Raw genomic sequence first — 25,369 nt, 5'->3', positions numbered from 1 at the left:
GTTCTGAGGCTGCAGGATCCTGGGAGTATTTGAGGGATGCAGGGAAGCTAGTGTGACCGGAATCAGTGAACAGGGCAGAGAATGGCGTGTCATCAGATCAGGACAGCCTTGTTGGCCCTTAAAAGGACTTTGCTTTTTACCCTGAGGACATGGAAAGCCACTGGACAATTTTAAGCATCCTGCCTCTGTTCCATCAAAATCACTTTGGCTGCTCTAGTAACAGACCATGGCGGGATCAGGGGAGAAGCCAAGGGACCTGGTGTGAGGTGAGGTGATTACAGTATTTTAGTTGAGAGGCAATAGTGGCCAGAACCCAGGTGGTAGCAGGAAGTAGTTGGATTCTCGATACGTTTTAAAGACGTGGTTGCTGGGGTTTTCTGATGGTTTGGATATAAATTATGGAAAAGAAAGAGGGGTTGAAGCTTTCTTGTAAGTTTTTGGCCCGGACAACTGGAAGAATAGAATTGCCATTTTCTGAGATGAGTAAGACTTTGAGAGAAGCAGGTTTGAAGTAGGACAGTCGAAGATCCGAAGGTCAGTTTTGAACATGCAGTCATGTGCCACCCAACAGCATTTCGGTTAACCATGGACTACAGACAGTGATGGTCCCATAGGTCCCATGTTTTTATGAATGTCATATTTTTACTGTAACTTTTCTACATTTAGATAGTTTAGGTATACAAATACTTACTGTGGTCTTATAATTGCCTACTGTGTTCGGCACAGTAGTGTGCTGTACAGGTTTGTAGCCTAGGAGCAATAGGCTATACCTTGTGGCCTGAGTGTGCAGAGGGCTACACCATCTAGGTTTGTGTAAGTACACTCTGTGAAGTTTCACACAACAATAAAATCACCTAATGACACATTTCTCAGACCGTATCCCCATTAAGTGACTCACCTGCATTAAGTTTGAGATCTTATTAGATATGCAAATGGAGGTGGTTGTATATACTGGAATTCAGGGGAAAAGTTCAGTCTGGAGATTAAAGTTAAGAATCATCCATGTATAGTTGGCACTAAAGACCAGAGAGTGAGATAGGTAGAGAAAATAAGAGGTCCAGGGATCGAATGTTGTCACACCACGTTCAGAGGTGGGTGAAAGGGGAGGAATTGGCAAAAATGAGAAGCCGCCATGAACTAGAAGGAAGCCCAGCAAGTTGAGGGCCTGGAGCCAAGTGAAGGGAAGGTGAAAGCTGTGTGGGATGGTTCCAGTGGTTCAGGGGCTGGTTCCAAATTGACAACTGGATTTAGTTTTGTAGAGGTCACTGTGACTTTGAAAGCAGTTTTGGTGAAGAGGTATGGGTGAAAGCTTGCTTAACGTGAGTTTAGGAGAGAAATTAGAGATAGAGCAGACAGCTCTTTCAAAGTTTTGTTATACAACACACCTATGCATTTTGTTTTGTTTCGTTTGAGACAGGATCTTGCTGTTTCCCAGGCTGGAGTGCAGTCGTGCAATCACAGCTCCCTGCAGCCTCGAACTCCTAGACTCGAGCAGTCCTCCTGCATCAGCCTCCCAAGTAGCTGGGACTACAGGCACATGCCACTTACTCCCGGCTAAGTATTTTTCTTTTCTTTTTCTTCTTTCTTTTTCTTTGTGTTTTAAGAGATGGCAGGGTCTCATTATGTTGCCCAGACTAGTCTTGAACTTCTGAGCTCAAGCAGCCCTCCCGACTGAGCCTCCCAAAGTGCTGGGATTATAGGCGTGAGCCATTGTACCTGCCAACACCTATGTTTTTTGTTTTGTTTTGTTTTGAGAGGTAGCTTCACTCTTGTCGCCCAGGCTGGAGCGCAATGGTACAATCTCGGTTCGCTGCAACCTCTGCCACCGGGTTCAAGCGATTCTCCTGCCTCAGCTTCTCAAATATCTGGGATTACAGGTGCCTGCCACCACGCCCGGCTAATTTTTGTACTTTTATTAGAGACTGGGTTTCACCATGTTGGCCAGGCTGGTCTTGAACTCCTGAACTCAGGTGACCCACCCACCTAAGCCTCCCAAAGTGCTGGGATTACAGGCATGAGCCACTGCACCCAACCTGATTTTTGACTTAGAATATGATGCAGCCTTTTTACTTGTATGGTTCTCTTTGACCAGTCATCCATCTGCTATTTAGTATTGGTCCTAAAAGTTCCAATTAACGTTAAACCTGTGCATGTCTGCAGCAGGTGTGCCATTTTACTACTTTTGGCCTTGTGTAAATTAGTGGCTAGGATTTGAGACTCAGGGTAGATTGTGATGAGAAGGTAGCATAGGTTTAGAAAAGTCAAAGGAAAGGGATTTGGAAGTGAAGCTAACCTAAATCCCAACAGAGAGTGGTTTCATGCTCTGCCTCTCACCATTTGAAGACATTCAGTTCTAGTTTAGCTCCAGATAGAAAGCATTTGGCAGGATGGCAGGGCTTTTAAGGAATAGAAACATGTGTTCCTCTGTTATTTTTACTGGTACTGAGTCCTCTTTCTGATTTCCAGGTTGACCTGTCCCCCAAGTTTACTAGCATGCGATTAGGGACATCAGTGCTATGATTCTGTTATCTGGGTCAGGATTGTGTAGAGGACAAACATTCATAAAATGAGTTTACAGAAGAAATATCTCTTGTTAGGAGGGAAAACCATATAGGATATTACTACATTAGCTTTGTGAAACAATGAGGCAATTTATTCTGATGGGTTATTACCAAGAATTTTAATTTTAACTTGTTTTTGCTTAAGATGACAGTAATAACCAGGTTTTGATTTGCCTCTGTTTGCTTTTTGCTTAAGATTGCAACACCTGCTCGGTATACCGTGACTTTGGGAGGAACATCTGTCACTGTGAAGTATCTGCGCAGTCATGGCTACATGTCCACGCCGCCACCCGTCAAGGAGTATCTGCAGGACAGGATGGAAGAGACAAAGGAGCTTATCACAGAGAAAATGGAAGAAACAAAAGATAGACTCACTGAAAAGTTACAAGAAACCAAAGAAAAAGTTTCCTTTAAGAAAAAAGTGGAATAAGGTGCCTTATATAGCAGTATAGAAAATTCCTGCACTTTAACCCTTTGGAAACTATGGGCAAAGATACATGTGTCTGATTATTTTTTTGGTTAGTTGCCGAAATATACTAGTTCTCTGAGGGTTAAAGAAGTAAAATACCTTTTTAAAGTTAAATATCACTAGAAAAATCAGTGTTATTACAAGGGAAGAAATGAACCCAGTTTAAGAATTTGCCATCAGTAGCAGTATTAAGCAGTGGTTAATGTCTTAGAAGTCAGACTTCTTTTTCAAGGTCTTCAGAACCACACTTGATTTCTGTTTTGTTGCAGCTGTAATTGACACATACTAGGCAGCTGACTCCTTGAATATCCAGTGTGACCCATAAAATAGTCTGTTAATACCGGATCTTAATTTTTATGTTATTCATTAAGATTTTAACTATATTCAGTACGTAATTTGGAGACAAACTAGCATCATCAAAACTGCCTGTAAATAAGGTGTTTAGTCTTTCTATAAAAACAGAATAGAGCAGTTACCTACCAGTTAAAATATCTTATATGAAGAAAATAGAATAAAGATCCAGTCATATATGTAAATAAGATGTACTGATTGTACGTAAATGAAAAATGGACCCTTTAAAAATTATTTTTACCTGAAGCTTGTCATAATTTTTTTAAAGCAAATATATATATGGTGATGGTACTTTTCAAAGTGTGTATTAGTGGTGATCACCTCAAACATAAACCTCTGTTGTGAATCATTTGTGTCCTTTTCAACTGTCTTTCAGAGGAAAGGTAAAAAATCATTAAACCTTAAATTCATTGTTAAAATCAAATATTTGTCAGCAGTAACTCAAGCTCATGGTTCTCAAGCAGAAAAAGGTTTGGGAGACTAAAAATGGAGTCAGGTTTTCATGGAGACTGCTAACTCCTTGGGGTAGACATGGGCCTTGCCTCAGCAAACCAGTGCAATTTCCCAATGTCTTAGTTTCAGAATTCATGCTGATTTCATTATGGAGTAAAGTTTTAAATTGTGGCTGCTGCTTTTTGTCTTACATTGAAGGGAAATATCCTTGTTTGAGCATTCTACTTGATTTTTTTTTTTTTTTTTTTTTTTTTTGAGACGGAGCCTCCCTCTCTCTCTCCCAGACTGGAGTGCAATGGTACAATCTCGGCTCACTGCATCCTCTGCCTCCCAGGTTCAAGTGATCCTCCCGCCTCAGCTTTCCAAGTAGCTGGGAGTATAAGCGTGTGCCACCACACTCAGCTAATTTTTGTATTTTTAGTGGAGGTGGAGTTTCACCATGTTAGCCAGGCTAGTCTCCAACTCCTGACCTCAGCCTCCCGAGTAGCTGGGACTACAGGCGCCCACCACCACGCCCAGCTAATTTTTTTGTATTTTTAGTAGAGATGGGGTTTCACCATCTTAACAAAGCTATCATTAAATCATTTGCTTGTAATGAAATTCAGCCGTTGTCAGCTGTGAGCGTTGCGGGGCTGGTGGGGTGTGTTTGAGTATGTAAGTGTCTATTTCCTGTGCTCTAACAGTGACTATTTCAGTTCTAACCCTTCAATTGCTAATTGGATGAGGGAATGGCCTCTTAGATTGTCCTTGTTTTGACTTATCTGCTAAGGCGAGAGAATGTCTGGGTTTGCCACACAGTCCCGCAGGGACCCCTGCTCTTTGCCAGGATTTTTATATCAAGTACTTAGTTTGGCCAAATTTAGAGTATAGTTTAAAGGGGAAAAAAAGTTTGTATTTGATGAGTCTAATTACTATATTAGAATGCTTTTTAAATGAATATGCTGTGATTGGAATCTCTTCTTGGGGGCCGGGGAGAGTGCTGAGAGATGCAGCTGTGTCTCTGCTCTCTGCAGTCTTGGGCAGGCAGCACCGCTGTCTCCTGATACAGAGGGTTGAATGCACTGCTTCACATTGATGCCACATTTTCAAATCTAAACATGATTAACATGTTTTTTAAGTATTTATCAAATAATTCACATTTTTGCAGGTTTAAGTGCTGTTTTTTAAGATATTAAACATGTTCCTTGTTTCTTTTTTCTTTTTAACCACTGGAGACTATGTGAAAATCTTGTGTTATATGGAATTTTTCTAAAACAATTTCCTTTTACTTTTCATGTTGCATATTTTCCAGTGGGGATAAATTGGAGGTTCTTATTACTAATAATCCTGAAACTAAAATTTGCTTTTCCTGCATAGACATCTTTTGTTAGTCCATTTGAGTTTTGTTGCCATCCAGTTTCATGATCATGTTGTGTTAGTCTAATAGACAATGAGTTACTGCTTGAATGATATGAAATTCTCTAGTAAAAAATGCTCTGAAGATGTGAGAAGCTCTGTTGTATTACTTGGCACCAGGAATGTTACAAAAATGTTGTTGCTAGCATATTGCTAACCTAGTCCTTAAGTTTCAGGGATTCCTGTAATATGTTGAGTTTGGAGTATTAATAGCAGGCTAACAGAATACAGTACCAATATGCCAAGTTAAATAATTGAGAATATATACAGTATAGTTTGCTATGTATAATAGACCTCATTTCATTTACAGTACACCTCACACTTGGGATTAATTCACCTATAACCTCTGTGAACTGCGAGTGCTCGGCAGAAGCAGCCCTGTGTCTTACATGTCTACATTTATATTTATATTTATATTTATTTTTTTGAGACAGAGTCTCACTCTGTCACCCAGGCTAGAGTGCAGTGGCATGATCATAGCTCACTTGCGTCTTGAACTCCTGGCTCAAGTGATCCTCCCACCTCAGCCTGCTGAGTAGCTGGGACTACAGGTGCACACCACCATGCCTGGCTAAAGGCATGTCTGCATTTATGCGAGGTGTGTTGACCGGGTGGGGAGGGAGCTAGGACTGAGATTCGCCTGTGTAAAATGCACAAAAAGGGTTTGCTAAGCAAATTGATATTTGAAATGAAAGATGGATTAGGTGAGAGACTTAGTTTATTCAGGAATAAGAGCAAAACCAACCACATCAAAAAATGTATTTCACTGAGACAGCCTTTTGTACATACAGCAGGGTGCTGTTTACAGATTTCAAGAAAGGAGAAAAAGAATGCTTATACTGAGATTACCTACCTCCCAGTAGTGAAAATAATAAATTTATCCCTTGAAATATAATCGTGTGTTTATTTGTCACAGAATCTACACTTACTTACAAATGCTTTATGCTCAGGATGAAATGGAGATACTGGCTCTCTTGTTTCAGTGATCTTAGATGATAATTCCAGGAATTTTAAAGATATATATATATATATATATTTTTTTTTTTTTTTTTTTTTTTTTTTTTGAGACAGAGTCTCGCTCTGTCGCCCAGGCTGGAGTGCAGTGATAACGATCTCGGCTCACTGCAAGCTCCACCTCCCAGGTTCACGCCATTCTCCTGCCTCAGCCTCCCGAGTAGCTGGGACTACAGGCACCCGCGACCATGCCCGGCTAATTTTTTGTGTTTTTAGTAGAGACGGTTTCACCGTGTTAGCCAGGATGGTCTCGATCTCCTGACCTCGTGATCCGCCCGCCTCGGCCTCCCAAAGTGCTGGGATTACAGGCATGAGCCACCGCGCCTGGCCTTAAAGATCTTAATAGTATGCGCAGAAAGATGTTTGAAGAAAAGAAGGAAATTGTATATTTGACACACTGAGCTTCTTTCTGTGTTCTTAGTGTTGGGTTTGGGTCATTCAGGATTTCTTAACCAATTCAGACATGAATCAGGCTGCTGTAGAAGATAGTAATTACAATGGAATGGACAGAAGATGATTTTTAGCCAATGAGGCAAAAAAAGTCATCTTTCCTGCTTTTTCTGAAATGATATGTTGAGAAGATGTTTTTGTGAGATACACATTTCTGAATTAAAGGATTCCTTCTGAAAATATAACTTGTTAGGTAATGTGGACATATTTTTTCTGTTGGCCAAAGTTCATTTTTTGAAATGGGGGCCTTCATTTATTTTTTATTTTCAAAATTGAGTTTCTATAAGGCCTAAAATAAAATAGATTAAATGTCACCAAAGTTGTTTGTACCTGTTTAAATATCTTTTTTGCAAGCCACTTACATTTTTTGGTACTGAAAGCTCACTACTCAATTGTCCTTATGAGCATGGAGGTGTCTCAGTGTGTCTGATCATACTGGCCCAGATGCCTGAGTGGCACATGTGCACTCAGAGAAGTGGGAGCCTCTTTGCTGCCTGCCTTGGAATTCAACCACCTGAGCCAGAAATCTATAGAACCAGAGGTGGGGAATTTTACCTATTCATTTTGCAGATGTTAACATTGTTCTCTTTTGGATCATTTGTATGTTATGTAGTATTAAGTTAGTACTAAATGAGATTGCAGAACGTACTGCATCATGTTCCCTGAGGACAATGGGAGTCAAGACCTCATTCTTCCTTTCTGGACTTGAATGGTCTGGGGGACCACACCTCCTTCCCAGAATTCATCTGCAATCATGAATTTTGGCCTGACCTTCTGGTTCTTGAAACATCTTTCCCCTGCATTTGGCGCTTGTAACTTGTCTTTGAGAAATGCTGAGTCAGGCCAATTGATGATATTTTCCCTCTAGAATTTTTCCTTTGTGACTTTTGTGTCAAGTTTGTTCATTTTAAGTAGTCAAAACAAGCTTTTAATTGTCTTGCTTCTTCAGGGTTAGGCTTTGAAAATCAAGCTGTATTCTTCTTTATGCATCATTGACAGTCACCAACAATAATAATTACAGATCATAATTATCTTGTGGCAATTATGATAAGAATTATTTTCTTAGTAGAAAGAATGCATCCTGATTTCAGAAACCTCCAGGGCAGTGTATAACATGAAGCCTGTTCTTTGTTCCGGTGACTTGATTGGACAGTCATAGTGGAGAGATGCACAGGCCGCCAGAGGCATTCTCAGAGTATCAAGTCTCTACAGATGAAGGGCGCTTGTGGAGAAGCATGTTTCAGTGCGTTTTCTCTGGGACAACATGCCCCATAAGAAAAGTTGAATACAATTAAACACGTCCTGCCTGCAGCCAAAGCAGATTTTCACTGTCCTTGAAAGTGAGGATTGAACACAACCTCCCTTCCCTCTCCCTCCCTCTGTCCAGCTTCTTCTCTTTTGGATTTTGAACAATGTAAATGTTAGAAAAACTTTGAAGTGAGAAAGAAAAAGACAAATTTGCCCTGAGCATGTCAGGTACACGTTCTGCTTGACGCTTCTGTGTGGGCCTCCCTGTTGCAGTCTCTAGGGGAGGATAGGCACACTGTCTCCAGAAAGAGGACAGTGAACTTCCAGCTGCATTTGACTGATACTAGGCCATTTTTAGTTCTTAGAGAAACAACATTAAAACCTAAACTTCATCCTTTTTATTTTGATAAAACGAACTTCCCCTCATTTTTTAATCAAATACATGGCAAAGGTCAGCCTTATCCTCTATTTTGATAGTTCCGTAAAGGCTATTCTAAGCATGTGATAAGAAATGATGGCAATTCTGGATCTTCTGTTATACCAATTAGATGTTTAACTCTAAAACCTGTGATTTTTTTTTTTAATGAACACATGGCATTTTCTCATACACGTGTATTTCAGCCTTACCGTCTGTGCTCCTCTTTGTACAAGATTTGTGACTTTATAATGGCTGAAGCATATTTTGACTAGTGTGTATTTTATTCCATTTGAGTCAGTATTTTCTTTGGACACTTAATATGGTGACTTAATTAGTGCAGTTGCTTTGCTTCTCTAAGAATAGTGGCGACTCTGGTTCTCTTATGATAAGGGTGCCAAAAGTCCTCACGTGCTCAGCTGCAGCCTGGAGCTGGAATTACAGGGCTTTGTTGCCATAGTGTTGCATCAACATGCACTTCTTATCCTCTCATTATTCAAGAAGATGCAGGATACAGTGGGTCGCAGTTTGCATTCCTCACTTCTTTTGGTCCCGAAATAAAAGTCTCATATTCCAACAAAAAGTTGAGAATATTATTGAACAAATATGTCCACAAAACCTAATGCAATTTTTGTTGAGAAACATTCATTAATTGCATTTCAAACACATTTTAGATTAATAGTTTTTTGCAACATAAACCCTACGCCTATAGAACCAATGAATTTGACATTTCATGGGTCACATTAGAACCAATATTTTTAGTTGAAGAAAGAAATACAAAAGAATTGGATTTAAAATTGGGATCTCAACTTCCAGTTTAGTGCTTTCCTTTGGTGCCAATTATTCAGGTAAGAGGCCAGGCTTTGGGGCTTCTGAAATCCCTTGTATTTTTGGAGACAGAAGCTCAAGTCAATTTATTATAAATATTCCTTTCCTTCCTCCTCTGCTGGTGCTTTCATCTTCTTTGCCTTTCAGCTTCTTTTAGATCTCTTTTCATCTTTTTGTCCTTAAAGTGATAGGATGGGACGATAGTCACTTCTGTGACCTCAGTTTCTGACTGCAGGAAGGAAACGTGTATTTATTAAAATTTCTCATGCTCCAGCTTCATTTTCTCCTTCACCTGGGATGGACTATGAGATGGGAGACTTATGTGAGCCAGTTCAGTGATGTCTGTCACTTTCTGGGTGGGCTTGGTGTTGGCAAAGCCATTAGGTAGCTATTTCCATATATAAATTACATATATATATATATATATATATATATATATATATATATTTTTTTTTTTTTTTTTTTTTTGAGATGGAGTCTTGCTCTGTCGCCCAGGCTGGAGTGTAGTGGTGCGATCTCAGCTCACTGCAACCTCCGCCTCCCAGGTTCAAGCAGTTCTCTGCCTCAGCCTCCCAAGTAGCTGGGATTACAGGTGCCTGCCATCGTGCCTGGCTAATTTTTGTATTTTTAGTAAAGACGGGGTTTCACCATCTTGGTCAGGCTGGTCTTGAACTCCTGACCTCGTGATCCACCCGCCTCAGCCTCCCAAAGTGCTGGGATTACAGGTGTGAGCCACTGCACCCAGCCCCTTTCTTTTTTTTTTTAATTATTTATTTTTTTAGAGACAGGATCTGGCTCTCTTGCCCAGGCCGGAGCACAGTGGCAGGATCGTAACTCACTGCAACCTCAAATTCCTGGGCTCAAACAGTCCTCCCACCCCAGCCTCCCAAGTAGCTAGGATTACAGGTGCACACCACCAAGCACAGCTAATTTCAGTTTTGTTGTTTGTTTCTTTGCTCGCTTTTTGTAGAGCCGGGGGGGTCTCACTAGGTTGCCCAGGCTGGTCTTGAACTCCTGGCCTCAAGCAATCCTCCCACCTTGGCCTCCCTAAGATTACAGGTGTGAACCCCTGTGCTCGGCCACTATTTTGAAACATCCAAATCCGTACTAGAAGGCAAGTAATGGCAACAGTTATTAAATCTAGTTTCTTTGCGTCTAAGTTTAAATATTTCACACATCCAAGGAGGATTTGACCTCAGGAAATTCCCCATTGCCCCGTTGGTACAAACTGAGTTTGCTGTTTCCTGCTTTGCTGCTGTGAGGAGGGTCAGACAGTGGTCATAGCTTCTGATCCTGTACTTGTGGCATACTTGGAGCCAGCTCAGATTGGAATTTTCCATTTAATTGCTACCAATCACTGGAACATCTGAAGTGATCAGAAGCTGCCATTTGTGGAAAATTTTAGTGTTGAGTAGTTCAGATTAAGAACTGTTAGTTTTCACCAAAATATAGAGGTTGGCCTCTGAATTCCATGAAAATTACCAACCTTAAAACCTGTACTGTATTATATGCTTAAAAATGTGGTAAGAGGGTAGCTCTCATGTTAAGTATTTTTACCACAATAAAATGCAAATCAAACAAAAACCCTGGCCCCTCATACACTGTGTGGGCAGTTCTGCACTGCAGTGCCTGCTACACAGCCAGTCTGTGCCCTCCGCAGTGTCTGTGAGCGGTGTTTGGTGTCTCATGCACCTGATGGGCTTAGAATTGCTGTGTGGCATTTGCCTTTGTCACTCATGGTGGTTAAACAGCAAGTGTGGTGAGAACCCTGTAGAAGCGGTGGCCCCTCCATCAGGCTGCTGAGGACCCAGCAGGTTGAGGCACCCTGCCTCTCCCATCGCCGGTTCTCCTTGGCTGGAACCCTTGCAGAGGGAGACCAGCAGATGGTGAAAGAAGTATCAGAGCAAGAGACAGGAGGAAAGTGTTCTGGGGTTTACAGTGGCGTTGTCAGTAAGGCACAAGGCTAAGTGCTTGCACATATCATTCCTGAAGGAGGTGGGTCGGCCAGTGTCAGCAGAGGGAACGCAGAAGGAGAAGGCCCGTCAACAGGAGAGGCTGCCCGAGGACCCTGGGTGCATCCAGGGCTGCTTCAGGACTGAGCTAGGCAAGTGGAGAGAATGGTGAGTGACAGTGTCCAGATCCACGTGTGCTTTCCCTGAATCCTTCAGACAAGGAAAGCCAGAGGAAAGGAGGAAGGGCAGGAGAGGGTGTGGGGGAAGCAAGGCAAGAAGCCAAATGATTTTGAACCATTTATTCTCCCTAGGTCCTTCTGGGTTTTCACATTTTGTTACAAAGGCTATAATAAACACCGCCCCCACTGCAGAGTGCTTCATTAAAACAACTGTATAACTAAAGTAATGAAGTAGAAGAAACAGATGTAATTTATTTATTTTTAATTTTATTTTTTTGAGATGGAGGTTTTTTTTTTTTTTTTTTTTTTTTTTTTTTTGCAGTTGCAAGATTTAATAGAGTGAAAACAGAGCTCCCATACAAACAGAGGGGACCCAAAGCGGGTAGCCATTGCCGGCTTGAATGCCTGGGTTTATATCCTGATCATTGTCCCTCCCTCGTGCTCTCAGGCGATAGATGATTGGCTATTTCTTTACCTCCTGTTTTAGCCTAATTAGCATTTTAGTGAGCTGTCTTTACTCCCTGATTGGTCGGGTGTGAGCTAAGTTGCAAGCCCCGTGTTTAAAGGTGGATGCCGTCACCTTCCCAGCTAGGCTTAGGGATTTTCTTAGTCAGCCTAGGAAATCCAGCTAGTCCTGTCTCTCAGTCCCCACTCTCAACAGGAAAACCCAAGTGCTGTTGGGGAGGTTGGCCAATGACCACTCTAACTGCTTCCTGCTGAATTGGGGCATAGTAGGGGTCGTGCAGTTGAGAGTTCCTCAGGAGGGGTGCCTTTGATGTCATCAACATCGGAGCATGGGCTAGCAGGCCGGTCCAGGGGTCCACAGTGAATCTTAGTCATGGACTGCATCTGGGGCTCCATTTGAAGAACTATTTGTAGTTTTACAGCTTCGATTCTGGAAGAGACAAACTTAACAAGGAGGTTAAAGATACAGGGATTGAAATGTATAGCCTGCAGTGCAGGGGATTATGTTTTTGGCACACTTCACAGGCCCTGACTATCTGCTTGATATTTTTGAAAAAGCTTGGTCCAGTAAATAATAATTTGGCCATCTGATGGGTGTTATCAATGCCTAAGTGAAAGGTTTGGTGAAGGGTTTTAAGTAATTTCCATTGGTTAGCTGCAGGCAAAAGTATTTTTCCTTCGGTGGCTAGCCATCCTGAGGGGAGGAAACTATGTCCTCGTGAGGTTCCCCATTCTATTTCTCCTGCTGAGTACTGGGGCTTGGTTTCCCAGAGGGGATTACCCCATACTAGAGGTCCTTCTATAAGCATTTCTAATGGAGGGTCCTGCCTTGCGGCTCTTTTGGCTTCAATATCCGCTTGGTGGTTCCCTTCTATTTCTCTTTCCTTTCCCTTCTGATGACCCCAGCAGTGTAAGACTGCCACCTCTTTAGGTTTCTGTACAGCCAATAATAATCTCCTAATGGCTTTCTGATGATTGATAGGTGTTCCCTCAGAAGTTAGGAATGCCCTTTTTGAGATGGAGTTTCACTCTTGTTGCCCAGGCTGGAGTGCAATGGCACCATCTCGGCTCACTGCAAACTCTGCCTCCCGGGTTCAAGTGATGCTTCTGCCTCAGCCTCCCGAGTAGCTGGGCTTACAGGCGCCCGCCACCATGCCTGGCTAATTTTTGTATTTTTTGTAGAGACAGGGTTTCACCATGTTGGCCAGGCTGATCTCAAACTCATGGAAAGGAAGTTCTGGGCCCAGTGACTTGGTCTTTGCCTTGTCACTCGGTGCTCTAAGCCCCTGTGGTACTCATTGCTGGGCATAAAATCAGCACCTGTTTATTTCACTGGGATGTTTTTTTGTTTGTTGGTTGGTTGGTTTTGAGATGGAGTCTCCTCTGTTGCCCAGGCTGGAGTGCAATGGCATGATCTCGGCTCACTGCAACCTCCATTTCCCGGGTTCAAGCGATTCTCGTGCCTCAGCCTCCTGAGTAGTTGGGATTACAGGTACCTGCCATCATGCCCGGCTAAGTTTTATATTTTTGTAGAGATGGGGTTTCACCATGTTGGCCAGGGTGGTCTCAAACTCCTGACCTCAGGTGATCTGCCCCCCTCGGCCTCCCAGAGTGCTGTGATTATTTCATTGAGATTTTAAGCTGCAGCCATTTAGTGTGGAGGGCATTCCAAAGGCGAAGGGCATTTACAAATCTGTTGTATTCAGGCAAAAAATTTTTAAATTAAATCTCGAACATGAAAGTTGTTTGTTTTGTTTTGTTTTTTTGAAACGGAGTCTTGCTCTGTCACTGAGGCTGGAGTGCAGTGGCATGATCTCAGCTCACTGCAAGCTCCACCTCCCGGGTTCAAGTGATTCTCCTGCCTCAGCCTCCCAAGTAGCTGGGACTACAGGCGCGTGCCACCACATCCGGCTAACTTTTTGTATTTTTAGTAGAGACGGGGCTTCACCGTGTTAGCCAGGATGGTCTCGATCTCCTAACCTCGTGATCCGCCAGCCTTGGCCTCCCAAAGTGCTGGGATTACAGGCGTGAGCCGCCACGCCCAGCCTAGAACAAGAAAGTTTTAGCGATAACAGCCATGGTTCACGAGGAGCCCCACATGTCAGGCCCTACGGCGTGCACATTCCTTGGGTCTTCACAACTGTCCTGCCAGGTAAGTATCGCTGTTGCTGTTCTATAGATGAGACTTTAAAACCTGTCAGGGACATTAATTAATTTGAGATGAAGCTAATATTCGGACCACCCAGGTCTATTAAGATTCAAAGCCTGTGCTGCCCTTTAACTGTAAGCGGGAAATATTCAAGGAGCCAGATCACCTGGGAATCCCATGCCAAATACAGCGCCTCACCTACTGCCCTGAAGCCCTGGCCCCCGGGCCCGCGTGGAGTGGCCCCCGGGCCTGCGTGGAGTGGCTTGCTCTAGGTGCTGGTGTAGGTTGCCAGAACGTTTTGTGCTTATAGATGACTGGTAACAGTGGAGACAAATACAACTCTGTAAATGAAAATGGCTTCGTAAGCAGGGAAAGTGATATAAGAGCCGCTATATACAGCTGCAGTTTTTTTTTTAGAATAATAAAAAAAAATGTATGTGCTTACTAGTAAGTCCTTTAGAAAGTATTTTTAGTCACCACTCTGCTATGTTCAAAAACTGAGCTTTTGCACTTCTGATTTTTTTAGCATGAAAGGGTAAAGTTGGGTGAATGAGGTTTGCATTATTAAGGCAAAAGCTAGAGTCTTGACAGAAACATGACATTAAGACTTTTGGGAAGCTGTTTTAAAATGTGTGTTTGAATTAGAATCCATTCAAACAAAACATCAAGGCAGTGTAGTGAAGGAAATCTAATTAGAATGTTCTCAGCAACAGACTCATATGCTGTGCACATGTCATCATGGGAGAGCAGAATAGGGGCTTTATTCCATGGCCCACTCTGGGTGGGTCTCTGGAAGGTTCCAAGGGATTATTTCAAGCATGCCTTTCTGGCAGTCCCCCTGGCCGTGGGGAGAGGGCAACCAGGTGAGTGTGTGGCCAGGTGGATTCTGCTCAGCTGTTGACACTTCTGTTTGCAAAACAAATGACTAAAATAAGTGGGTGAAAGAAAGCCAGGAATTGCTTAGCTTCAGAAGTTGGAGGGGTTTGGGAACAGTCAGGTGGCACTGAAGTACAATGGAGAACCCAAATTCACGAGCTTTGGAGCATTAAGGAGGCCCAGGGCAGGGTGGTGTCGAGACCATCGTCAAGGAGGGGGTTCAGACAGAAGGCAGTGGTGTGGGCATTGGACATAGCGCTTGCCCTCTCTCCCTGCCATCATCCCCTCCAACCCCGCCCGTTCTGTCTGTCGCTTGGTTTGCACTGTCTCCGAGGCATCTGAGCCGAGTGCTTCTTGGCTCCCACGCTTCAGCTCCAGCCAGAGCGGGCGGTTCCTTTGTGCACCAGCAGTTTCCAAGCACTTCCAAGCCTTTGTTTTTCTGTCTCAGGTATTTTGCTGAAGCCTTCTGAGCTTGCTCAGTCCACAGCCAGGGTGGCTGGGAAGATGAACCTGTAAGGGCACTCCTCAGCAGTGGGCAGATGAGATGTCCCAGCCTCCTGTCCTTCAGAGGCACAGCCTGCATGGTTTCTCGAGTGTGGCTGAACCCCTTGGCCCGTAGTGGGAACCAGCTCAGCATACCTTTTGTATTTTCTCTCTCCTCTCTCATTTGCCTGTTTCCTCTGCTAACAGTTCCCACATCCTTGGCTCTGAGACAGCTTCTAAAGTGACAGCTGGTACAGCCTCCCAGGGACAGTGGGGGAGAGAGGAGCCCTGTGTCTCCGTTGTGAGAAGCCAGTCCCAGGTTTTACTGGATTTGCTGCTTATGGTCTGCATAAGCAGGGATCCCAAGCCTGGATTCCCCTCATTCCTTCTGTGCAGAGCTGTCTGCAGGAACAAAGTTTGCATAGTTGTTAGCGTTAGCAAATTTGGGGGGTATCTTTAATATTTCTCTAATGGTTTGCTAAATTCAGAGATTACAGAATTTATTCCAGAGTGTGGTGTGGTTAATTAGTGACTATTTGCTGTTTGACAGGAAAGAAACTTTCCTATTGCTCTATTCCTTCTTATAGCTCTCTTCAAATCCCCTTTCCAAAATAATCTTAAAGAAAGAATTTAATTCAGAATCGAAAATGGATGTACCATTAGAATTTAGGGCCCATACCAGAATTTGGGGCCCATACCATTTTGAATGGTATTTTCAAAATTTCAGTTTCCATTTGCTAATTATAAGTACATAGAAATGCAAAAATAAATTGCATATCCTGCAACCATGCTAAATCCACTTTAGTAGTTTGGTAGATCGTGTGGGGTTTTATGCACACACAGTCATCATCTGTGAACCCATATTCTTATTTAGAGCATAGAGATAATACTATTCTAGTCTCTCGGTGTAGGAAATTTAGAGCCTCTCTGTTGTTACATTATCACTGACTGGAGACCTCCAATGCCAAGGAGTTTAAAACACACACTGAGGGGGTCTGTTCCATTGTGGAATAGTTGTCATTGTTAGGAATCTTGTTCATATTTTGGGCTGAGCATTTCGGTTTTGTGTGACAGCCACCCAAAGACTTTTTGAGGCATCTAGAAAGTCCTCCCTGGGCGCCTCAGGTGGGGTGAGCAGTTTCTCTGGGGACTCCTTGCATGAGGGGACCTGATGACTGTCTGAATGACCTGTGTAGAACCCAGCATTGGGAAACGAATCATGATCTGACCAGAATTGCTTCTAGTAGAATATGAAGTAGTGATTTTTTTGAAAAGTCAGAGTGACTACAAGCTGAGTGGGAAGTTTAGCTAGGGAGCCACAGGAAGTATTTCTTTGAGACAGGTCTTAAAACACACAGCATTTTCCCCATGCATGTGCCTTGTTGCTGAAAGACAAAGAAAAACAAAACAAAAACCCAAGGGACAAATGTATGCCGCTGATTATTTTTAATGATTTTGTGCTATGGTTTGACCACAGCATTAAGAACAAGCAGAAAAATCTGATTTCATAACTAACAAACAGCACTTAGAGCAACATCTTTCTTTAAAAGTATTGCAATTACAGACCTTAGGTCTAAGAACTACACCATTGCTCAGGTAAAAGAGGCAGATACGTGACAGGTGGAAATCTTTTTCTGTATATAACTGGGAATTATGTTGAAAAGTAAGCACGAATGTTTGTTAAAAAAGACTTTAATGACTTTTGATTATCATAGCTCACAAACAACTATTGAAAAGTTCAAATACAGTTGTACTTTTTTAGTAGATTGCTTTATAATAAAAATTAAACGAACTAAATGCTGTGAATAGTATTGTACATATTTTAAAATAGCCTTAAACTAGACAAGTATACAATTAGCATGATTTTTGAAAGCTATGAAATGAAAAATAGCAACATACCAACAAGCACATTAAAATGAACCAGTATCATTAACAGTAAAGTTTAAGCCTCAATTCGTCCTGTAGAAAGGAAGCAATGATGTGGTAACAAATTTTAGTACCTCTGAGTCTAGAACATTCTCATGCTCAACAGTTCTCCCACAAGGTTGAACCTGGGGGGTGGGAGCTTTGTTTCTGACAACAGTGAGCCTCAGTTCTTAATGATGAATCCCAAGGGGTGCACCCTACAGTATACGATGGAAACAACACGTGGGTCTAGACACGCAGGATCCACAACAACAAAAGTGTCAACTTTTTACGGCCCTTTCAAACAGATACTAAAAGGGCTGACTTTTTTAATCCATTCAGCATTAAGGGTTGCATTGTAGAGTCAATTTCAGTTTAAAGATAATCTGTCATTTGTTTCCTGGATGTTAGGGGTATGATTATAGAATCTGACATTTTCAAAGTCAGAACATACACCATGGAGCAAATAAAAACTTTGGAATTTATTAGACTCTACTCTGGTGGCAGAATAAGCTGATAATATGGGTCAGATGGGCAAAATTCCACGAACTGCTCTTATGGACAACACTCGAAAGGATGCCCACACCCAAGATTCAACCGTGGTTTTAGTGAACATGGTGTTATAAACTTTTCTTGTTCTTTTGTTTTAAAATTAGGGTATTTGAAGATAAATGCAGAGGTCACAATCAGACACTAAAAACTAAGCCGGAAGAGAGATGTAACAATATACAATCCAAAACGTAATTTCTAACTGATGGCAAAACCGAGTTTGCTTTTTGGGTCCGTATTATGATGGGACATGAATGGGAATGGATGAGAGGTCCTTCACTTGGCTGGCTGACAGCCAAGTCTCTTCTAGTGCTAACCCATAACTAAACACATTTTCTAAGAACAGGGTCTTCTTGTAAGTGTATTTGTTTTTCCTGAGGTATTCTTTCCCTACAATCTCTACTGTTACTTCATTGGCTCCACAGCTTCAGTTTGTAAAAGAAAAAGGCACAGAGAGACTTGGACACAGACGGTCACAGATGCCTCTGGAGCTGAACAAAGTCTTCTGCTGCAGGCTGATTTACTTATTCCTCTGACACAGTTTCTGCAACAACAAAAATGTGCACTTTTCACTGTTGCCTGACACCTTCGTGATGCTACAGCAGGAGATAGATGCAGGAGATTATAAAGCAAGTTGAAAAACAACATTTTTCTGACTCAAATATAACTAACACTGGTCCAGCTGAGCATTACTAAAATGATTAAAATAAGAAGCGTCTAGTGGCAACCAAAAAGCTGTGGGATTTTTTAAAAAGTATTTTCTTTAAAGTGTTTTCACAGCAAAGATGCAACTTTCCATTGCTATATATACGCTGGTCATAAACTGTTGCTTGTTTGTTCACACTTCTTTCTCTTGTGTTATAATATTGATATTTAATAGGAAAATAAACTACATAGACTTTAATCTGTATGCATCCATTTGCAAATTTCCTTACAAAAGAGGACAAAGCACATAGGCATTCACAAATTCTATGCCATTTCTGTTAAAATTGGTATCATCTATACATTATATTACAGTATTAACAACTTTTTGTTCTACCCATTGGGTAGGATATGTGCATAATATATTCAACTTATATACAGCACCTTACAAATAAAAACATAAGAAAAGACAGACAACTGAAAAAAGCACCATTTTAAGTGAGGCACAACAAAGGTGGGAGCATCAAGTGCAGGAGGGGGCGGCTTGGTTCCTATATCTGCTGAACTCAGAACATGAGGCACCTTAGTTGCTGAAAAACTGACATGCAGATCTCTGACATGATAGGGGTATATCTACATATATATAATGTGCACGGATAGTGTATATATAATCTCTATAGCTCTAACCCTCTCCCGCATTACACAAAAACAAGGACACGCAGAGGGAAGAAAGAAAAGGATGAAGGAAGACATTGCTTTCTTAGCAAGACATTCCTACACTCAGACAGCAGCTTCCTAATGCATCCAGTTCGAGAAGCAGCAGCAGCAGCAGCAGCAGCAAATGACTGTCTGACCCTGGCAGTAACATAAACTTGAACTCTGCAAAGGACACAGCGTGCCGGGTAATAAAGAATGCTGAAATATTGGTTCCTAAAAAATGTAGACCACTGCAAGGCTAAGAGTGCTTTCCATTGTCTGTTCACATCTCTGTGATCTGTAGCGGTGCTGGCAGCTGGCGGTGGTGGAAATGGCGAACGGTAAGCCACGCAGCTGCTGAGAACTAGCATTTAGGATCTGGGCTGGAAGCAACATTTTTAAATTTGTGACTTTCCTCGCACCAAGAAGGGGAAGTTCTCCCTTTGCCCACCTGTCATTCAATTGTCCTTTCACCTCAGTAGGCCAAGCACGCGGCATTCTTGGTCAGTGTGAGCAGGAGAGCAAAGGGCAGGCTGTGGAGCATGTTCGTGGCATGAAGGCTTGGCTCCAAGCACTGGCTTTAATCACTTAAGCAAGCAACACAAAAGTTAACAGAAACCAAGTATCTTTCCCAGTTTTTTCTTTCATACACTGCCGAGCTTTGGAAAATTTTTAAAAAATGAATGGTACACAAAGTTAATGTTGCCATTCTAAGTAGCAAAATTCAATAAACAAGCAGTGCAGCAAGCCCCCGAGATGGGGGCGCATCCAGTCATGGCTGCATGGGGGGCCGGGCTCCCTGCGCCCACAGCAGAATGTCTCTGAGCCTGCCAGTGACCAACGCCATGAGCCGGTCCTTTGAGGGAGGGCTTCGGACTGGGTGCCGGGTGTCTCTCTACTAGCAATCAGTATCTGGCCTGAGGACATATTTGAAGTGCTCTGCACCAGAGCCTTCCTAAAAAGAAGAGCCGCTGGATGGAAGATAGAGGATGGCCCCTGTCAGAGAAGGGAACTGTTGGTTCAGAGAGGAAGGCAGGGATTTGGATGGATTCTTCTAGGTCAGAGAAGATTTCTAAAAGTGCTTCCTTTTGAGCCTTTCTCATTCTTATGAAGATGAAATAAAGGTGAAAGAGATCAAACGGAGATACGCAGAAGTTCAAGAAGTCCTCGCCTGGGTACAAAATTCCTCTGCTGGTGTCAGGAGGCCTCCCCCATTTACTGTTGGCCCCTATTTCCTGCCTCATAAGTTTGAGCCAAAATTAGTGAATGGAAATGCAGTCCTCACGATAAATCTTTTAAAAATTCGCTTCTGCTCTCTTGGGATTTCTTGTGGCTTGGGTGTGTGTCCATGTGTTTATGTGGTGGGGAGGGTGAGGACATGCTTGTCAAGCTTCTGTATTAGTAAATTTTGGACACTAAAAATAGAAGAACTATTGAAATACATAATTTGCTTCATGAAATCTCTTTTCCATTAAGGATTGCGTCAGTATTTAAAGAGAATGCTAGAGTTTCTGAAAAAGCAAACGTATGCTGGAAGATTGTGTTCTTATAGATGGGATTCAAGATGCCTTGGGTCTCCTACACCGGGAACAAGGGACAAAAGTCAGCGGTATGCCCAGGAGTGTTCATTCCCACCAAATGTTCTTCCTAACAATGCAATCCACACTTTGCTGGAATAATCTAAGATTATAAACCTATCATTGATTGCCTAAATCACTCGTTACTAAACTGGACCCATGGGTTCTATAAGCTAAAAAAAGGGTTCTTGAAAGAACAATAGGCCCCACTGTGTAAGTTGTATCTTCCCAGTCGCTACTCTTTCAACGCCACACTAGCCATGAGGCGACACGGTATGAACAGGTCAGCCACAACCTTCAAAAGAGCTACTGATCTAAATCACCTTTTCCTTCTGCTGAAGGGAAATTGACCATCAATTCATGTTATGACCTTGGCTTTTAAACTAATTCATTACAGAGCCCCAGCCTCGAAGACCTTTCAAAGTCATGGTTTGATATGTATGAGTCTTTAAATAACTATTTAACAAAGGCAGTTCTCTAGGGTGGTTGAATGGGAGGAGCCTCTTTCTTGAAAGATGATTAAAGGTATCTGAATTATGTAATTATCTCGCCAATACTGTGGACATGTGCAACACATTCATATACTCACAGTTACTAAGGAATTCACAAGTCTCTGCTCTGAGCCCCTTCTTGAGGCAGGTAGAGAAGTAAGGACTGTGAAGCCATTTGAGAGCTAGAGCTGTGGGGTGCATCTCCTGCTTCACCAAAACTGCAGGTGAGAACTGAAATGATGGAATCACTCACCTCGCCTCCGCATCTGTGGGCACACCTGACCAAGAATCCACTGCAAGTCCCTGCCAGCAGGGCCCGATGGGAACACGGGCTCCTCATCTTTGCCTGACAGAGGAAGAGAGGCTAATCTGGAGAGCCAGTGAACCTTCAGGGTGTCTCCAGGGTTGGGGAGGGTCCTTCTGGCCCCAAGCCAATCTCTGCCCTGAGAGCTGGTGTCTCTCCAGCAGAGGCCTTCCAACTGTCACTGGAACAAGACTGAATCCAGTCTCAGAACCTCCACTGTGACTCTCAACTGTATATACTTCCACACAGGTTGTAAGCATGAGCTGACAACTGGTGCCTGTGTTTTTCCTCTCTCCTTTTAAGAGTTGGACTAGTTCTGTGGATGTTACTGTGTGCAAAGGATGAATGTAATGGAAATTCCAATCCTCAAAACAAACAAACAAAAACCAGTGACCTATCTACAGAGGTAAGAAGCAGAAGGGAACAGACTAGGATCAGACAACTCTTGGGGTTTGGAACAGTCTCTCCAGTTACAGCACAGAGCCACCGCACCGACGGATCACCTTCGAGACCCACAGACAGACACAAACACACACACGCGGATTTGGCTTTAAGGCTGCATAGGTGGGAGTCATGGAATCATCATTCCAGCTCATCTTGTTATGTGAAGAGGCCACAGAGGCCCACCCTCCACATGGCAGAGTGTACTGCAGATAAGCCCTTCTCCACGCGCAGTGTCTGCTAAACGTGTTGGCTGCTGCTCTTATAAAAGCCAGTGCTTACATCTGCAGAAGAAAGTTATTTTTTTCATTGTATATAAGAATGAATATTTGTAAATATCAGGAATATTAAAACTAACAATATTTAAAATTAGTTTTCTAGTTGCATTTTAACTGCATGTTGTGCTTTTTACCCGGTGCTCTTCAGTCACTTGCCCCCTCCACTGTTCTCTGACTGTCCAGTTCTTGCCTTCAGTACAAAAGCTGGCCTGGGGAAGGGTTTGGTAGAATCCTGCGGGAATTTGGGTAGGTTTTGAGCACTGCATTCCTTTAAGAATGCTATGCTAATACTAGTGACATACAATAACCCACAATGGCTTATTACCACGATCAGCAACATGGCATTCTTCCGTCATTATTTCTAGGGGCTTCCAAAGCATAAGAAACCACCACCCACACCACTCCCACACGAAGTTCTGTGTAGGCTGGATGTGGGGTGGCTGCTGGGAGCCTCCTGTGAACTGAGCAGCCCTGCAGAACTGAACTAAGCTGTCGAGGAAAGGGGGAGAGGCAATGGGAATATACTGAGGAGTCACATATTTCAACAGTATGCAGAATAACCACCTTGCATTTTAAACAATTTATTGCATAAAATAAGGTATGTATTTGAATATATTTCATGCTATAGTGAAAAAAATCTAAATTACTGAAGAAATTGCACTGCTGGAGGATGAGGGCAGCACTGCATGATACTGGATCCATAAATGCATGTGTTCATTTTCTCATAAACTATGCAGCCTAAGAGTAGCAGAGTAACTCAAAATAACAAGTCAGAAATGCTGGAACTTAATCTTCCCTATCTTATCTTCCATCCAAAAGTCTCCAAAAGCTTCAGCGATGCACTGCTATTTGATGCAAACTCCTGCAACAATAATGACTTTTTTGATTTACGTAAGTTGGTAAAATGTTAGGCTACGTCCCCAAATATCTTTTCTTGGATGCTTCTGGGGACCACTCCAGGATATTCCTTGGGCCTGATTACAATCCACAGGTGAAAAGACAACATACAGAACTTCACGTAAAACAGTTCCCTTGTAAATATTTTCAACATTAAGATAGTGCAACTTTTAAAACACATCATCACAACACAAAGGAGCTCCTTGCACTCATCTAACTTCTCCACTTTATACCTTGGCACACAACACAGGAATTTTGATTCATATTTTTAAAACAAAATAAAAGTTCCACACCTTAGGAGAAAAAGCGAACTGGCTGGTTCTTCCCCACAATAATATATAATAATGCTTCCTTCTTTATTCAGTTAATTATAAAACATGCCATTCTGGCCTCATTTATCTGCAAAGTCTCCTTTCACAATTAAATACATCAAATACCTCTGTGGGTTTTATTTCATGGTATCTTCAAAGCATCCCGTTCTCTGTTTTCCCCTGCCCACACCCCCATCCCAACCCCTGTCCCCAAATAAACACTGTTTGCGGTCAGACCAGATGGAAGTTTGTATCATTTCAGTCTAGTTTGCATGCAATTCCCCTAAAAGGAATCAGAAACAAAGACCGTGTTTGCTCATTTGGTTTTACTTATTTGTACCATGTGAAACTGAACAACACTGTGCGCAGGAGGGGCCCAGCGGCCGCTTCCCTTCTTGGTTTCTTTCTCCAGCTGAAGTGCACGTTGGAAGGAATCAGACCAGGTTCCCAGGCTTCCTATCTTTGCCTTTGATGGGTACTATTGTGCTCTCTGCATTGTTCTGCTGAAACTGCAGTCTGCTGCCCCTGTGTGCGTTGCTGCGCTGGTGATGGAGGAAAGAGGCGCCTGGGTGGTGGCCCATCACCTCGCTGTATGTGGGGGGTGGCCCCTCCATCCTCCCGTTACTGCTGCAGGTGCTTGCACTGATGCCCGAGTTGCTGCTGGGTGGGCATGGACCCCCGCTATACATAGCAATGTCTATTAAATCACTGTCAAATATGGTTCGGTTGGGTGGGGCCCTCACGGACTCTCGGTTGAGTTCCATCTGCTGTTCAGGGTCCCGGAGCTGCAGGGTGCAGGGCCCCTGGTAAGGAGGTGGCTCTTCACCGTCGGACAGGGAGATGGTGGGAGGAAGATCAATCTCGTGCTGCACATAGGGGTAGGTGGGCTGGAAGCGGCTGAAGCGATCCCTCTGGATGAAGGACGGCGCTGTGAACCTGTCCCTGGACCGCGGGGCATGCATGATCTGGAAGGAAAAGAGGAGAGGCTTGAAGACAGTTTGAGCGCAATGATGACCATAAATGTGTCAGAATCAAGGAAAGTTACGCTTGGTGTGTGTTCCTACCAGTTTGAACACCATCTCCCAGGAAAAAAAAAAAGAAAACAGGAAAATCCAATTCCAGAAAAAAAAGTGTACTTTTCTGATTCCTTATGACAGACCACTCACCTTGCCAAATCCCAGCGCATCCAGGAGGGCTGAGCAATGGAGAGCTGTGGGTAATGGAAAGCTTGGGCTCCTGGGAGTTTCTGTGCGTGCTACGTGTGCATTTTCCCCTTGGAAACAGAACACACTAGGAACTCCAAGAGTCACAGGGCGAAGAGCACTGCGGCCTGCACTTGGATCTGGTCACCAGTGACATCGTCCAGTCCTCGGCTTCTCTATAACTTACGAGGACAGGACAGGGCTGCCTGCTTTCTCAGGTCCCTGCCAGCTCTAGAACTTAGAACCTATGGTTCAGAAAAGTAAGGAGGGGCTCCGAGTTTTTATTTTTATTTAATTTTTTATCTTAATTTTTTTTTTTTTTGAGACAGGGTCTGGCTCTGTCACCTAGGCTGGAGTGCAGTGGCGCCATCTTGGCTTATTGCAACCTTAACCTTCTGGGCTCAAGTGATTCTCCCACCTCAACCTCCTGAGTAGCTGAGACTACAGGTGCACACCACCATGCCTAGCTTTTTTTTTTTTTTTTTTTTTGAGATGGGGTTTTGTCATGTTGCATAGGCTTGTCTTGAACTCCTGAGCTTAAGTGACCCACCCACCTCAGCTTCCTAAAGTGCTAGGATTACAGTCATGAGCTACTGCGCCGGCCAGAACTCTGAGTAAGCAGAAGTTATAACTTCACACAGTGGTACGTGGAGCAGATACAAAGCATTGGGTCGATTTATTAATTACTTAGAGAAGATCATTGCCAATTACTTTTTAACAAATTCCCCCCAAAATGACTGTTTTTTCTTTGTGGCTCCTAGACTTTTCCAGTTATCTGGAATCTGAAT

At 43.0% G+C, this 25,369-nt stretch overlaps 2 protein-coding genes across 55 annotated transcripts in view, besides 2 other annotated features; one reads left to right on the top strand and one right to left on the bottom strand.

Moving 5' to 3' along the window:
• FAM210A (family with sequence similarity 210 member A) overlaps positions 1 to 6,124 on the top strand; it is a 63,212-nt gene extending 57,088 nt beyond the window's left edge. For all 3 annotated transcript variants that reach the window (NM_152352.4, NM_001098801.2, XM_024451083.2), the window contains one exon: positions 2,758 to 6,124. In NM_152352.4, coding sequence (NP_689565.2) covers positions 2,758 to 2,991 — 234 coding nt within the window. In that variant the 3' untranslated portion in view covers positions 2,992 to 6,124. The remainder of the gene's footprint in view (positions 1 to 2,757) is intronic.
• Positions 6,125 to 16,716: 10,592 nt separating this feature from the next.
• Positions 16,717 to 25,369, bottom strand: part of LDLRAD4 (low density lipoprotein receptor class A domain containing 4) — a 435,073-nt gene continuing 426,420 nt past the window's right edge. For 38 of the 52 annotated variants that reach the window (XM_047437773.1, XM_047437776.1, XM_024451260.2 and 35 more), the window contains one exon: positions 16,717 to 24,344. In XM_047437773.1, coding sequence (XP_047293729.1) covers positions 23,814 to 24,344 — 531 coding nt within the window. In that variant the 3' untranslated portion in view covers positions 16,717 to 23,813. The remainder of the gene's footprint in view (positions 24,345 to 25,369) is intronic. The other 14 variants (NR_172142.1, NM_181481.5, NM_001378101.1 and 11 more) reach the window with 1 other exon arrangement.
• Positions 19,412 to 19,911: an enhancer, noted in NCBI's record as "H3K4me1 hESC enhancer chr18:13649559-13650058 (GRCh37/hg19 assembly coordinates)". NCBI's record gives its function as "activates a minimal SCP1, AML or CMV promoter by ChIP-STARR-seq in naive H9 embryonic stem cells {active_cell/tissue: H9 hESC(naive)}" and the evidence as "EXISTENCE:reporter gene assay evidence [ECO:0000049][PMID:30033119]".
• Positions 19,912 to 20,413: an enhancer, noted in NCBI's record as "H3K4me1 hESC enhancer chr18:13649057-13649558 (GRCh37/hg19 assembly coordinates)". NCBI's record gives its function as "activates a minimal SCP1, AML or CMV promoter by ChIP-STARR-seq in naive H9 embryonic stem cells {active_cell/tissue: H9 hESC(naive)}" and the evidence as "EXISTENCE:reporter gene assay evidence [ECO:0000049][PMID:30033119]".

Source organism: Homo sapiens, chromosome 18 (assembly GCF_000001405.40).
Source record: "Homo sapiens chromosome 18, GRCh38.p14 Primary Assembly".
NCBI lineage: Eukaryota > Metazoa > Chordata > Mammalia > Primates > Hominidae > Homo > Homo sapiens.
Note: the sequence above shows the minus strand (reverse complement) of the source record. Positions and strands in the feature narration are given on the sequence as shown.